General features: G+C 47.7%; 2 annotated features.

Moving 5' to 3' along the window:
• Positions 3,655-4,398: an enhancer, noted in NCBI's record as "H3K27ac-H3K4me1 hESC enhancer chr2:86023815-86024558 (GRCh37/hg19 assembly coordinates)". NCBI's record gives its function as "activates a minimal SCP1, AML or CMV promoter by ChIP-STARR-seq in primed H9 embryonic stem cells {active_cell/tissue: H9 hESC(primed)}" and the evidence as "EXISTENCE:reporter gene assay evidence [ECO:0000049][PMID:30033119]".
• Positions 11,502-11,699: a silencer, noted in NCBI's record as "fragment chr2:86031662-86031859 (GRCh37/hg19 assembly coordinates)". NCBI's record gives its function as "represses an EF-1alpha promoter that drives an FKBP-Casp9 reporter gene in an ReSE screen in HepG2 liver carcinoma cells {active_cell/tissue: HepG2}" and the evidence as "EXISTENCE:reporter gene assay evidence [ECO:0000049][PMID:32094911]".

Genomic DNA, 15,478 nt, shown 5'->3' on the forward strand with positions numbered 1-15,478 from the left:
TGAGGGCGCTCACCCACCCTCGGCCGCGCAAGTATCCAGGATCTCACCTCCAGGAGGAAAGATGCACCTCCCTGGACGAGCCAGCCTCTCCCCGGGCTCTCTTGTCACCAAGGCTTGTCCAAAGGCAGCAGATGGGCCACACAGCGGGGAGTGAGGCCAGGACAGAGCCTGCCCCCTCCCCAAGAAACCGGCAGAGCCAAGCCTGTGCCCCCAACCACCTCCAAAGCCATCTGGCCCACAGACAACATGCTTTCATCCTTTGGGATTTCATTTCCAGCACCACAACCAGAAGTTTCTAGAGAATTCCCCTCTGGCAGGCACACACATGCACATGATACACACACACACAAACACACACACACACATTTTTTCTTTTTTTAAATAAAGAGCTCAAAAATGTTTCCAAATCCCAGGAAAGGAATCTCCATTTTTGGAGAAGAAAATAGAACAAAACCAGCAAGTTTATTTATTTCTTTATTTTTAGTATGCTTTGAGATGGCCACACTGACCTTTATTTCCTAAATAAAAATCAGGACAAGAGGTTTGATGAAGATTTAAGTGCTTTTTCTGGACAGGTCCTGGTATGAGAGGCAGCCTAGGAAGTCAAACATTGTAATCTGGGGAGCGGCTCTAAGATGAATAAGATTAGGCTGTCTAAAAGCAACCGATTCAATGATCCTGTCCGTTGAGGACCACAGTGTAATATATCCTTTTCCTAAAGGCTCTGAAAAGTCCTGCAGTAGAAAAACTCATTTAACTTTTTAAACTCCGTGCCTCTCAAAGTTTTATGAACACTTATCCTTTAAAAAAATGTATTATGGTAAAATATCCATATGGTAAAATAATATTTAGCATTTTGACCATTAAGTGTACAATTCAGTGGCATTAAATACATTCATAATATGGTAATATGTGCAACCATGACAGTTATCTGCACCCCAAACATTTCCATCATCGCCAACAAAATTAAACACCCATTAAACAATCTGCACCCATTAAACAATAATTCTCCCTCCCTGCCTCCCCCCAGCCCTGATAACCTTTATTCTACTTCCTGTCTGTATGAACTTGCCTATTCCAGGTACTTCATACCAGTGGAATCACACAATATTTGTCCTTCTCTGTTGGCTTATTTCACTATGTGTAATGTTTTCAAGGTCCATCTGCGTGTTGGCATGTATCAGAATTTCATTGCTTTTCATGGCTGAACAATGCTCCATTGTATGGATAGACCACATCTCTGTTGATGGAGAACGCTTATCCTTTATTACAGGGACCCATCTCTCATGGGACACCAAGAAAGGTCCCCAGAACATAGTTTGGGCACTGTTGGTTTTTGGAACCACTAGAATGTTTGGATTTAGAAGGGGCCAGGATGTTCATGTTCTTACCCACACGGTTGCCCCAGGCACTGACAGAAGGCCTTCAGTGAGCTCAGTCTCCAAACTTAAGGCAAAGGCTGAAGCCCTGAGTGGGGAAGCTGTCTGGGAGGTACCTGGGGAGTGGTCACCCCTGGGGGGAAAGCCGGGGCCAGCCTTGTTCTCTAAACTCCACAGGACACTTGGTCCTGCTGGACTGTGGGGCCTGCTGGGAAGGCTGACAGCTCAGTGTTGGTGCCATCTGTCAGGGCTGCCTTCCCTGGTTTTGAGAACAGGGCTGGACAGGAGCCAGGTTTGAGGGGAGCAGTTGCCCGGGAGGCCCTGGCCCCTTTTGGCAGCCTCACAGGTCCTGTTCCTACAAGGAGCTGGACACGCTGTCCGAACAACTGCCCCTGCCCTTCCCTGTCAGCACCTCCCACGGAGACCCCTTTCTAGCGGGCAGACAAGCTGGGGATTAATGGGTTAGGGGGCCCAGAACCCCAGTTCAGGCAAGTGAGGAGACGCCCAGAGTCGAGCCTCCATGTTGTCCACGCAGACAACATGGGTCCCTCTGGGAACCCGAAGGCCTGGGCTCCAGCTTGGCCCGATCCTTCACTCCATGCCTGCAACCTCTGAGGTCGCTCCTGGCTTGGCAGTCTCCCACCTGGTCCTCACACTGCCTTGTCCCGCCCCGATGCTGGGGTTCAGGGTCAGATTAAAACTCCCCTCACTGGCTCTACTGCCCCCGGAGACCCAGGGTGCACCCTGTTCTTGCTGAAACAGCTGTATTTCCCCTCCTGAGAGATTTTCTTTTGAGCCAGAGAATTATTTGAAAGAGCAAAGACCTTCCAGAGTTGTTAAACAAAACAACACACCATCTCTAGAGGAATTACAAATAAATGGGGATTCACCCTTCAAATCTGGATAAAGCTCCCCTCCCCAGACCTCAAACTTGCTGCTCAACTAAAGCTGCTTTGACCTTGGACCAGACCTCCCTGTGCCTGGGCCTCCCAGGACATGTCCTCTCTCCCCCGTGGCCTGGTTCCTTGCACCTCCATCTGTCTTCCTGGCTCCGTCGTGCACTCCTGGAAGGCAGAGAGTGTGGTCATCTCCCCAGGGCAGAACGGCCCTCAGGACCTGCGTTGATGCAGCGCTGCTGGCCTGGGCTAGAAAAGTTTTTCGCGATTCTCTGCCCTGGCGAGTGGCTGCAGGGTCCTGCCCACCCCAATGCAGCCCAGCCCGGCCCTGGGGTTATCCTGCAGAGCCCAGTAGAGTCAGGTGTGGGAGGGAAGTATGAAGTAGGATGAATGCTCTCGGCACAAAATGGCTAAGGAGCTGGAGCCAGACGGAACACACAGTGAGGGGAACCCCGAGAAGTACTGCGCTTCTCCAGCCCAAAGCCATCTGGAGAGACTGAAGTGAATGTCTCGCGCACACGACAAGGTGGCAGGGTTCATTCCTCCCAGGGCCCATCTGCAGCCCCCAGCCCCAGGTCCTGAGCCTGCCTTGAGGCCTGCCTCCCTGCAGAGCTTTGTCTCTGTCTCCCACTGAGCCGGGCCTCTCCTCAGGACCCCCTTTCCTCCTCACAGAGGCCACCCCTCTCAGAGCCAGCCCTCTCTCGGCTCTCCCCGCTTTATCCTGGCCCATTCTGCCTCAGCTGCTTTCCTCAGTGCGTGGATTCCAGTGGCAGCAACATCTGCTGGGCACTGTCTGGCCCGTGGGTGGTCACAGGGTGCCAAGGACCCTAGTGCTGTTTCTTGGCCCTGCCACTCACTGGCTGTGTGACCTAGGGCAAGTCGCTCCCCTCCCTGAGCCTCAGTTTCTCTTTGTAAAAAGTGGTTGGAAGAGATGGTGACTAAAGCCTCTTCCAGGTACTTAATGGACGCAGCCTGTTCCCCTGCTGAGATGCTGTCTTCACTGGCTCTGCGCCTCCGTCTCCCTGGTTTGGCTCCTGCTTCTTTGGCTGCTCCTTCCAGGCCCCCTTGGCCTGTTGTCACACTCCGGGGCTCAGTCCTCGGGACTCCCCACTCAGGCTGCTGACTTCCAATTCCTGTCTGTATCCCAGAGACGGAGAGGATAATATCTGCTCATTCAACACCAGACTGAGTTAAATATCTAAGGAATTTCTACTCTAAACCCAGCGTTTAGAGCCAGCCCTGCCCCACTGGCCATCATCCACCACAGGCAGGCAGAGGCATTTCATTCCGTCTGCCTTCCCCCTCAGCACTGGCCCCGGTCGGCCTGTCCTTGCCCAGGTCCTCTGGGCCCCTCCCAGGGCTGTGGCCTTCCTTTGGCTGGGACCTTAGGCAGGGCTCATTTCCTCCCAGGCCTGAGCACTTTCCCAAGGAGCCAGCGCCTGTCCCTGCTGCCCAGTGCTTCCTCAGAGGCAGGACTTTGGCAAGCACTGCCTTGCTGCTGATGAGACTTAATTAACGCAGGGATCCGCTTTCCTCCTGGCCCTGGGAGAGAGGCGCCCGCCTTGGAGCTCGAGGACACAGGGTACCCCATTGTTCTCTGGAGAAACACAGCTGCCCCTCTGCAGCTGCTGCCCCGGGCCTGTCAGCTGCCTTCTCTGCTCTCGGAGGTCCTTCCCACTCTCCTCCCTGAGGGGCTTATTCAAGTGCCCACCAGCAGAGATCCACATCCTTCCCCTGAGCTGGTCTCTTCAGGGTGTCCATGGTGCTGACTCCACAGGTCGAGCATTAGGCCTCATTGGACTGGACGTATCAGGCATCGGCGCAGCCCGTTCCCCTGCTGAGATGTTGTCTTCACTGGCTCTGCAGCTCCGTCTCCTTGGTTTGGCTCCTGCTTCTCCGGCTGCTCCTTCCAGGCCCCCTTTGCCTGTTGTCACACCCCAGGGCTCAGTCCTCGGGACTCCCCACTCACTCAGGGCCACGCCCTTCATAGGCTGCTGACTTCCAATTCCTGTCTGTATCCCAGAGACGAATAGGAATAGATATCGCTCTGTCTATCACAATAGATATTCCTATCTGCATCACCCAGAGCGAAGCTGAATCCTTGCCTTCAAGGCCCCGCACCACCTGCCCTGGCACCTCCCTGACCTCACCTTCACTGCTGTCGTCTGTGTGGTTGACACACCAAACCCAGCCACTCTTTGCATTAGGCCTTCGCATCGGCTGTTCCCCCTGCCTGGAATGCTCTTTCCCCAGTATCCGTTTGGCTCGTTCCCTCATTATCTTCAGTCCTCTGGTTGAATAGCACCTCCTTAGCAAGCCCTTCCGTGATGGCTCGATCTTATTTATTTGTTTGTTTGTTTGTTTGTTTTTTGAGACAGAATCTCACTCTGTCGCCCAGGCTGGAGTGCACTGGCGAGATCTTGGATCACTGCAAACTCTGCCTCCCAGGTTCAAGCGATTCTTCTGCCTCAGCGTCTGAGTAGCTGGGATTACAGGTGTGTGCCATCACATCTGGCTAATTTTTGTATTTTTAGTAAAGACGGGGTTCCACCATGTTGGCCAGGCTGGTCTCGAACTCCTGACCTCAAGCGATCTGCCCACTTCGGCCTCCCAAATTGCTGGGATTACAGGTGTGAGCCACCGCGCCCAGCCAATGGCTCTATTTTAAATCGCAATACTCCCCTACTTCCCCTAGCACTCTCTCCCCTGCTTTATTTTCTCCATAGTACTCATCACTCTCTGCCACGCTATGTCAGTTTGAAAACACTATCACCTCCCTCTAGACCGTAAAGTTCATGAGAGCGGGGGTTTTTGTTTTGCTGACCACTGCATCCCTAGTGTCTAAACAGTGCCCCCTTGGGGCTTTTTGGAACTAGGAATGCTGTCCTCAGTCTCCAGTAGCTGATGAACAAATATTTGTTGCACAAATGGATGAATGCTTCATTAAATGTACTTGTACATGTATCTTTATGTCCTGGTGGTTTGACTTCTGTAGACTAGATCATGGAAGTGTGGTTATTCTGTCCAGTGTATGTATAGAGTATTTTTAATTTTAATAAACAACTCTAGATTACTTTCCCAAGAGGTTGAAGCAATTCATGCCCATTTCTCTGCCTGTGCTGGACGTTATCACACTTGAGTTCTTGCCAGTCTTCTGGGGAAGCAGGGAAGGCATCTCATTGCTTTAATTTTCATTTTCCTGCCTAATAGAGAAGAACATTGTTCATATTTATTGACCACTTGAATTTCTGTTTCTGTGAATTGTCTTGTTTATTATAGTCTTTGCCTATTTTTGTTTTTACAGGGGAGGTGGGTGGGGGAGGACTGACGTTTTCTAACATGTGTGTAAGACGGAATCTGCATTTTTTTTTTAAAGCATCCCAGGTAATTGTGATACTTATGGCCATTCCCAGCGCTATCGCTTAGTATGAGGATCCTCCTGGTCCGCTACTGCCTGGCAGGCTCTGGGGTCCTCTATGGGTTTTAGAATGAAAGGTTTTAAGGTTTTTTTTCATTGCTGGTACTCTGTACTTTCTACAACGATCTTGTGTTACTTTTTTAAAAAGGATATTAAAAAACAATCATAGGAAAACCCTTGTACTGTAATACCAAGTGGAAAAGCATTTACAGTTAGGATGTACTTTCTGATGAGAATGACATAAAAAGGCTCTCTGTATGCAGAAAACCCTAGCAGTGAATGGCCAGAATGAAAACATAGGATTGTGGGTAATATTCCTTACAATGGAAGTTTTCCTTACGATGGAAGGCAGACAAGTGGGGGAAGAAGAGGTGAGGGTGAACCCCTAGTGGAAAAAGAGTGCCTGCTGGAATGGTAGCACTTGGGCTAAAATACCCTCCTTTTGTGGCTTGGCAGACATCACTAATTAATCACTTCAGCAGTTCCTCCTAAGCTCCAGCTTGGTCTTAGAATCTTTCTCAGCCCCATAGTCCAGAGAGCTACTGTCACAGATCAGAGCTGGCAGGCGACATTAAACCCAGTCACCGTCCTTGCCTGAGCAGGGGACAGCGCAGTCATACCTGGCAGCCAACTCTCTTGCTGGGGCAGCAACAGGCTCCCTGGCAGCCCTCGTGGCTATGTTGGGGCTGCAATCCAGTTGGCTGCTCCTACCTATCTGTGCCCTGGGGGTGGGGGAGGCACCTGGGGTCTTTTCAACCTGCACTGGCTCCCATCTCTTATATAGAGCATAGCTTCCTGGACTCTCTTCTCCTCCCAGCCCTGGGGGCTTGTTGGAAGTGGGAACGTTGTCCTCAGCCTGATGCTTGGCCCTGATGCAAAGTCCACATGTTTTTTCATCATTGACTTTCAGGGTCAACATGTGGACCCTGGACCCTGGACCCTGGAACATCCCCTCCAACACCACACCTTGGCCACTCTCACCATTTGGGCGACTCTGCAGCCTCTGACCTCTGCTTTCATGATTTTTGGCGTAACCCCTCTCCACTCACATGGTCCCAGCTGTGACTTCGTGCCCTGATGCTGTGTTCACTGGCACATCCTGACTGTCTAACCAGGCCCCTGGCCCCGCCCCACCTGCCTGCCCTGCACTTGGCATGACTCAGAGCTGACAGGTTCACCAGCCGGACTCACTGCACAGCGCCAGGAATTCCTCATCAGTCTTCTTCCTCTAGACCAGCTTGGGGTGGGGGCCGTGGGGGGTTGATTAGAAAGAGTAGGAAGAAATATTTTTATAGCTTTTTCTGGTTTTTTTTTTTTGAGAAACAGTAAATGATATAGAAAGATAACATAGAAATATATGAGGAAATCACCAATAATCTAATCACCTGGAGATAACCACAGTGACTGTGTTGGTGAACATCCTTCCAGGCACCTCTCTGCCTCCACACTCACTGACATATACATATGCACATTGTCATAAATGGCATCGTGCTCTATTCAACCTGCATTTTTCACTCAACTATATGTCATGAGCATTTTCAAGAATGTCAATGACGAAAAAACATGTTTTCTTCTCCTAGAATGTAAATTATATTCCACAGGATTCTTTTTTTTTCCTCCTAGCATATTTGTGTTTTTGTTTCCTCTGAGGCAGAAATGTTATTAATTTCCCATTTCTCTCCCATAGTAATAGACCACCAATTTCTAGTTGTGTGGACAGCCACTACAATGAAGACAATGTATCTCAGCTTCCCATGGGGCTCTGTATGGCTGTGGGACTGAGTTCTAGTCAACGGGTGCAAGCAGAAGAGGTATGTGCAACACTGCCTGGATGTGCCCTGTGCTAGGTAGTTTTATATATGGCCATCAATTATTTGACAGTCCTTCTTTCATTTAGGTGGAGGCTTAATTCCCTTCCTTTAAGCATAGCCTGCACTTTGTGACTTGCTTCTAATGCATAGAACGTGGTAGAAGCAATGAACACCTGAGGTTGAACTGAAGAGGCAGTTGGCTTCCTTCTTGCTCTCTGTCTCTTGCATCATCCACTCTGGGGAAAACCAGCTGCCATGTCATGAGGACAATGTAGCAGCCCTATGGAGAGAAGACCCATGTGGCAAAGAACCGAGGCTTCCTGCCAACAGTCACGTAAAAGAGCCATTTTGAAAGCAAGTCCTTAACCCCCAAACCAGCCTTCAGGTGACTGTGGTGCTGGATGACATCTTGACTATAAACTCTGAATTCCTGACCCACAGAAACTGAGATAATAAGTGTTTATTGTTTTAAACAACCAAGTTTTGGGGTAATTGTTTTGCAACAATAGACAACTGATACATGCCCTTAAAAGGATGGGCGGGTCTTCCCTTCCCCTTTACCCTCTCTCTGGATGGAAGGTGGATGTGCAGTGTGCCATCTGGGATCTTGCAGATAAGGGCAACATGCTAGGGATGGAGGAGCAACAACATAGAGGGGGTCTGGGCCCTTGATGGCTTCATAGGACAGGGTCAGCATAACAACTCAGACTTCTAAGTGAGAGGAACATGAATGTCTATATTAATTAAGCCAGAGCATCCCAACCAATGCTGGGCCTTCCTGGAGTGCTGTCAATGGGTTGCAGGTGCATGAAGCTACTGATCCCCTCTGTCTCAGGGCCAGTTGCTTCTGCATGTAAGCAGCCTGCTATGGACTGAATGTTTGTGTCTCTCCAAAATTCATATGTTGAAACCTAATTCCCAATGTGATGATTTTCGGAGGTGACTAGGTCATGAGAGTGGAACTTTTATGAATGGGATTAGTGCCCTTATAAGGGACTAGCAAGACCAGAGATTTTTCCCTTTCCACCATATGAGGACACAGCAAAAAGGCACTATCCATGAACTAAAAGCAGGCCTTCACCAGACACTGCTCTGCCAGTGTCTTGATCTTGGACTTCCCAGTCTCCAGAACTGTGAGAAATAAATTTCTGTTTATAAGCTATCCAATTTACAGTATTTTGTTTTAGCAGTCTGAAAGAAATAAGACACAGCCTTATTCTTTTACCCCCGTGAGCTACACAATTATTACAATTTTCTCTGTGTGCTGTGATGGGAATAATGTTTGGGAAGCTTTGGGTCTCTGTCATGACAGCCAAATTTTATCCCAACAAATACATTCTCCAAAGTGAGATGTGGCTTAGTACTTTTAACATATGCTGCTCTCCTTAATCAGGCTATGGGACACTCGTGCTCTGAGGGGTATGTCAGGTCTTGGCAGGTGAGGTGGCAGGTACTACAAGTGGTCGGGCTTTCTCTAGGTCCCAGAGGCCCCAGGTGTTTGTGATCACTCCCCTTGCCTGTGCAGGAGACTGATTCTGCAAACAACAAGAGCGAACCCTCCTCCCGGCCTTGGGGAACCACTCACAGTTTGCTTCTGACTCCAGCTCTCTTCCCCCTGAGCTGTGTCTGTATCCCAACCTCCCTTCTCTTCTCAGGCTCTGTCCGCTCAGGAACACAGATGGTAACAGTGCAGAGGTGGACACTGCTTAATAACATCATTTCTCCCTGAGGACGGTCATGGGTCACACACCCAAATCAAACCAAGCCTCCTGTGGACAGAATTCTATTAGGAGGTATGGGACTGGGGCTTTCCTGATGTCGCCCACTCAGAAGAGCAGAATCTCTATTTTAATGGCTACATGTTATGCACGGAATATTTGTGTCCCACCTAATTCATATGTTGACATTCTAATCCTGATATGATGGTACTCAGAGGTGGGGCTGTTCAGAGGTGATGAGGTCATGAGGGTGGAGCCCTCATGAACGGGATTAGTGCCCTTGTCATAGGAGCCCTGGGGACCTCTCACACCCTCTTCCACTGTGTGAGCACACCACTCAAGAAGAGGGCAGCTTGTAACCCAGGAGAGGCCTCAGCAGTACCTGACCATGCTGGCACCCTGAGCTCAGCCTTCCAGACTCCAGAACTTTGAGAAATACACTTCTGTTGTTTAGAGGCCACACAGCCTATGGTACCATGTCACAGCAGCTCAAATGGACTGAGATGGTGAGGTTCGCCAGACCCAGGCAATCTGCTGGATGTGTCCTCCCCTTTGCTTAAACTCAGGGTTATATGAAGTAAACAGAAGGATCCGTTTTAGCATGAGTGACATCACACTGTAACATGAGAACCATACACATTTTGTGATATTGCTTTTGCAGACTTAGATCTACAAGACCATAAAGATTCCACAGTGGTGGCTGGGCACAGTAGCTCACGTCTGTAATCCCAGCACTTTGGGAGGTCGAGGTGGGCAGATCGCTTGAGGTCAGGAGCTTGAGACCAGCCTGGGCAACCTGGTGAAACCCCGTCTCTACTGAAAATACAAAAATTAGCCAGGCATGGTGGTGCATGCCTGTAATCCCAGCTACTTGGGGGACTGAGGCAAGAGAATGGCTTGAAACCTGGAAGGGAGAGGTTGCAGTGAGCTGAGATTGTGCCACTGCACTCTAGCCTGGGTGACACACTGAGACTCCATCGCAAAAAAAAAAAAAAAAAAAAAAAAAAAAAAAAAAAAAAAAAAGATTACACAGTGGCTTCTAGTCTCACTGCCCAGTGGCTCCTCATTAATAACTGATAGGAACTCCAAACAGCATGGCCAGGAGACTGCATCAGCTTGGACCTGGTGGATCCCTCTTCTGACAGGCCCTGCTGCTCCCTTCAGCTCTCCACACTGCTCCATGCCCACAACTGCTAGTCTTGGGATTGAGTGTTTATTTCAGGGCTCTTATTTCCAAACTAGTTCAGTATCTGCTGAGGTGATTGTTCAAATTTTGCTTTGAGCATTAAGTTAGTGAATTTTTTTCTTCTTTTTTTTTTGGAGGGAACAATTTTTTTATTGTGGTAAAATATATATAACATAAAATTTAACATTTTAAGCATTTTTGGGTTTATAATTCAGTGGAATTAAGTACTTTCACAGTGTTGTACAACCATCACTACTATCCATCTCCAGAACTTTTCATCACCCCAAATTGAAACTCAGAAGGTATCAAACAATAATTCCCCATTTCCCTTCTGTAACCCATGGCAGCTCTATTCTACCTCTGGTGTCTATGACTTTGCCTATTCTAGATATCTCATCTAAGTGGAATCATACAATCTTTGTCTTTCTGTGACTGGCTCACTTAGCATAATGTCTTCAAGACTCGCCCATGCTGTAGTATGGGTCAGAGTTTCCTTCCTCTTAATGGCTGAGCACGTAAGTTTTTAATCCGTGGATTTCACCAAAGGTTGATGTTTCTAATGCATTCGGCAAAATTCCTGCAGACACTTACTAAATGTGGAGTTGACTTCTCTTTTTCCTGCATCATTCTCTTCATTCTCTATACAGTGACTGTGTGACATCTGGTAGTGCGTGGTTAGGTGTTTCATTCATTCTCTCGAATGAGAGGAGGTCCTCCCAGGTTGGAGGTCTATGCTAGCAGCAGGTGCTCTGTGGAGCGGTGCCAACAGTGACACCGAGAGACGCCCCTCTCTGGTGACAGCTCCGGAGCACTGCCTGTTACTCTACTCTTATATTCTGGAAGCCTCATCAACATCATGCTTTGGTATTTTTCAGTGTGGCTACACATTTCTTACTTCATTTAATCCAAATGCCCTGATGGAGGCTATGTGTCAGTAACCCTTTTAACTCTGAGGAAACTGAGGCCCAGGGAGGTGATGGCTCTTGCCTCCCCAGGAGGTCAGTGGCAAGTGGGAGGCTGAAGCTTAGGGCACCCAAGTCCAGGACTGTTTTCTGCTTACCCCTCAGGGAAGGTGGCAGAGGCTTCAGGTTCCCTCCTTTTTGCACTGGCTTTTCTCCTCCTACCTTGATGGGCATGGATACACTGATAGGGGTTGGAGAAGGTGGGGAGATAGGGGAGAATAAGCACCAACCTTTCAATTCCTCAGCTTGTGCAAACCTTGTTTCTTTTGAACTGTCTTCAGGGCTGAATCTGGCACTCTCAAAAGGCAAGGGTAGGAAGGTGGCAAGAGGGGCTGTAACCACTTCCTGGGGACTGGGGCTAAAACCACGGGGCTGGAATCTTCCCCTCCCCCTGCAGGAGGATATCAGGAACTACAGCCATTTGAGAATAAATGATTCTTGCATATGATTTAAAAATTATGAAATAAAGGAAATGAGGTGAAAAATCTCTTCACTCTTGTCACCAGCAGCCATTTTCTTCCTTACAGGCATCAATGTTTTCTACTTTTGCATATCTTTCCTGAGGACTGTTATGTATGCATATATACACAAGTACATACATACACGTATACGTATGTACGTATGGGTATGTGTGTGTATATATATTCTTGTTTCATTTTCTCCCACAGATAGTAAGTATATTATGCATATTGCCCTGTGCTTTATTCTTCCAGCACTTTCACATAATATATAATAGTAATAGCACTGAACATTTATTAAGTGCTTACTATGTTCTGGGGTTCTGGGTACTGCTCTAAGAACTTGGTATGGGTCAATAGTCTTAATACATTTCATCCTCACAACAACCCCATGAGGTAGCATCATTTTTTCAATCTATACATAGTAAAAAAAAAACCCATGCAAGCTAAAACAACACTGAGATACTATTTTTCATCCGTCATGCTGTTAAAGATCAAAAAGCTCACTAACACACGGTGTGGAAGAGGGTGTGGAGACATTGATACTCCATAGATTTTTGGTAAGCAATTCAGCAAAAGCTATTACCATTATAAAGACAAATAACTTTGATTCAGCAATTCCACTTCTAGGAATTTTTCCTGCAGATACACTTTGCAGATGCTGAATGAGTGGGGCACATATTATTCATGCACCATTGCATAATAGCAAAAGACTGGGAAAAAGTTAAACATGCATCAGTAGGGACTGGCTACATATGGTATATTAACATCCATTTATTGAAATATTAGGCTGTGGGTTTTAAAAAAATGAGTAAATTATTGATGCACAGAGGTGGTGTTAGTCTGTTCTTACACTGCTAATAAAGACATACCAGAGACTGGGTAATTTGTAAAGAAAAAGAGATTTAATGGACTCACAGTTTCACATGGCTGAGGAGGCCTCACAGTCATGGCGGAAGGCAAAGCAGGGCAAAGCCACTTCCTACATGGTGGCAGGCAAGACAGTGTGTGCAGAGGAACTGCCCTTTTATAAAACCATCAGTTCTCATGAGACTTATTCACTATCACAAGAGCAGCATGGGAAAAACTCGCCCCCATGATTCAATTACTTCCCACTAGGTCCCTCCCACAACACGTGGGGATTATGGGAGCTACAATTCAAGATGAGATTTGGGTGGGCACATAGCCAAACCATATCAGACTGGCTAAATACGACATATGATATGATATATTAACATCCATTTATTGAAATATTAGGCTGTGATTTTTTTTTAATGAGTAAGTTATTCATGCACAGCGGTGGGATGCTCTCCAAGATGGAGAGGCAGTGCAACATCATGGTTAAGAATCCAACTTGAGCCAGGCTTCCTGGGTTTTAAGTCTGGCTTTGCTGCTTATCAACTGTGCAAAATTGGACTGTTACTCTACCTCTCTGCATCTCTGGTTTCCTCATCTGAAAAGTGGGGCTTGTAATAATAACACATTGTAATACCTCCAGCTAACCCTCAGACAAGTAGGAAATAAACGGTCATGGTCATATGCCACTGGAATTTTTTAAAAATATTTTTTACACAGCATGAATGCAGTGATAACTAACTGATACAAGTGCACAGTAGTTGCTCAATAAGTATTGCTTAATAAGGAACTGAGCAAGTCCTTTCTTTATAGTGGGAAACTTCACAGGTTACCTGAAGAGCAACTCCATGTAGAGCCCAAAGAGGAAGCTCAAGGTTAATATTCAACATACAACCAAAGCACTGGGGTTTTATTTATTCAGCAGGCTGGTTTTTTTTTTTTTTTTTTTGAGTACTGGCTGTGCTAGAAGCTGACACACATACAAATAGAGTAAGGATTGACCCCTGTCCTCAGAGCACACACTCTCTGGAAGGACAAGATTTATAAACAATTAATTATAAGTATCGTGGCACTTGCTGTAACAAAGGTATGCAGAAAGTGTGCAAAGGAGGTAACAAGCATTTCAGCCTGTGGTGGATGCAGGGTGAAGGAGGTGAAGTCATGGGAGTTGGGGTGCCCAGTGAGCGGTAAAGGGATAGAAAGCTGCAAAGGTCAGCCAAATCCAGCATGGGAAGGGCCTTGAAAGCTTGGGAAGGAATTTGAGTGATACAATTTTTTGGCAGAGGGGTGCCATGATTTTGGAAAGATCACTTTGGTGGCAATGTGGAAGGTGCAAAAGGCGGCTATTGCAGGGCCCAGGATGTGGGGTTGCTTACATCAGACCTCCTGCTACAAGGACAGAATTGATCGGGGACAATTTCTAGGGACAGGATTGATCTGGGGGGTATGTGGCCCCAGATGAGGAAAGAGAAGTCCAGGAGGTGGTAAAATAAGTCCTTTCTTCTAACTCCCCTGCTAGGTAGGCACTGTACCAGTTAGGAAGGCATTTGGCTGCAGGTAACAGGAAACCTGGTTCTAGAAGTTTAATCACACAGGGGTGCCTTTTTCTCATAATAAGAAATCAGTAAATGGTGGTTGCTGACTTTGCTGTGGTAACTCGACAACTCTGAGATTCTTATGGCCTCTCCTCATGGTCTTAATGTGGTTGGTACAACTCTAAGTATCGTGTCTGTGTTTAAAAGAAAACCAAGAGGCAGAAAGGTGGAAAGAGAGGGCCATACCAGCTGCACCCTTTTGTCAGGAAACCAGTTTTACTTGACATTTGCACCCCACCCCCTGCCAGCTTCCACCTATATCTTATGGCCCTATCCTGGGTGCAAGGGGGCTGGGGAACTGAGGAACAGGCTTGTCATGCTCAGTGGAGCCTCTTTGTGGGACCAGGCCCATTTCCATTCCAAATGAATTGGGTTTGTTACAAGGAAGAAGGGGAAATAGATATTGATAGGCAGAAGCATGTCCCCAAACATGGCCAGAGATGGTGTATCTTCTGCCATAGGAACTCCTGGTGCATGGCACGAATTCAGACATCCTGCCTTCTGGACCTGACACTATGAAGCCCCACTGTGTTTCCCCACTCCCATTCCAGGCCTCTGCCTCAGTGGGTCCCAGTTCATCCCTGTCCATCCCAGAGGGGCCCTCTGAAGTAGATCCAGGCCCTGGGTGGGGGCAGTGGCTAGTGCTAAGCAGAGTGGGACGAGAGCACCATCACTGAGTTCCCTACTGACCGTTTCTGAGCTGAGCTGGCACAGAGGTCCTGGGAACAGAGGCTGTCTACAGCCTGGTATTCTGGTAGCACAGAAGGCTCCTGGAAAGCCATCTAACCCATCTTGCTGGTCTCTTCTTGTGGCACATGATAGTAAGCCATGAGGACTCTTGAGGACAGATGGGAAGGTCATATGAAAACTCCTAGCAAAGTGCATTTACCGTGGAACGAGGAGGACCTGGATTCTTCCAAAATCCAACTTGGTGATAAGCTGAGTCATGCGTGGTAACAAATGCCCCGACAAGTATAATTGCTTAAACACGAAGATGTATTTCTTGTTCACTCTGAATGTCCATCGTCAGTTCACAGGGGCTCTGCTCCATGTCTCTCCACTCTGGGATCCAGGCTGATGGAGCAGCCACCATTTCTAACTTGCTGCTTGCTATGAGAGAGGGAAAGAAGAGATCTGGAGGGTTTACTGTGGCATTTCCTTACTATTTATTTATTTATTTATTTTTTGAGACAGTCTCTT

Source organism: Homo sapiens, chromosome 2, assembly GCF_000001405.40.
Source record: "Homo sapiens chromosome 2, GRCh38.p14 Primary Assembly".
NCBI lineage: Eukaryota > Metazoa > Chordata > Mammalia > Primates > Hominidae > Homo > Homo sapiens.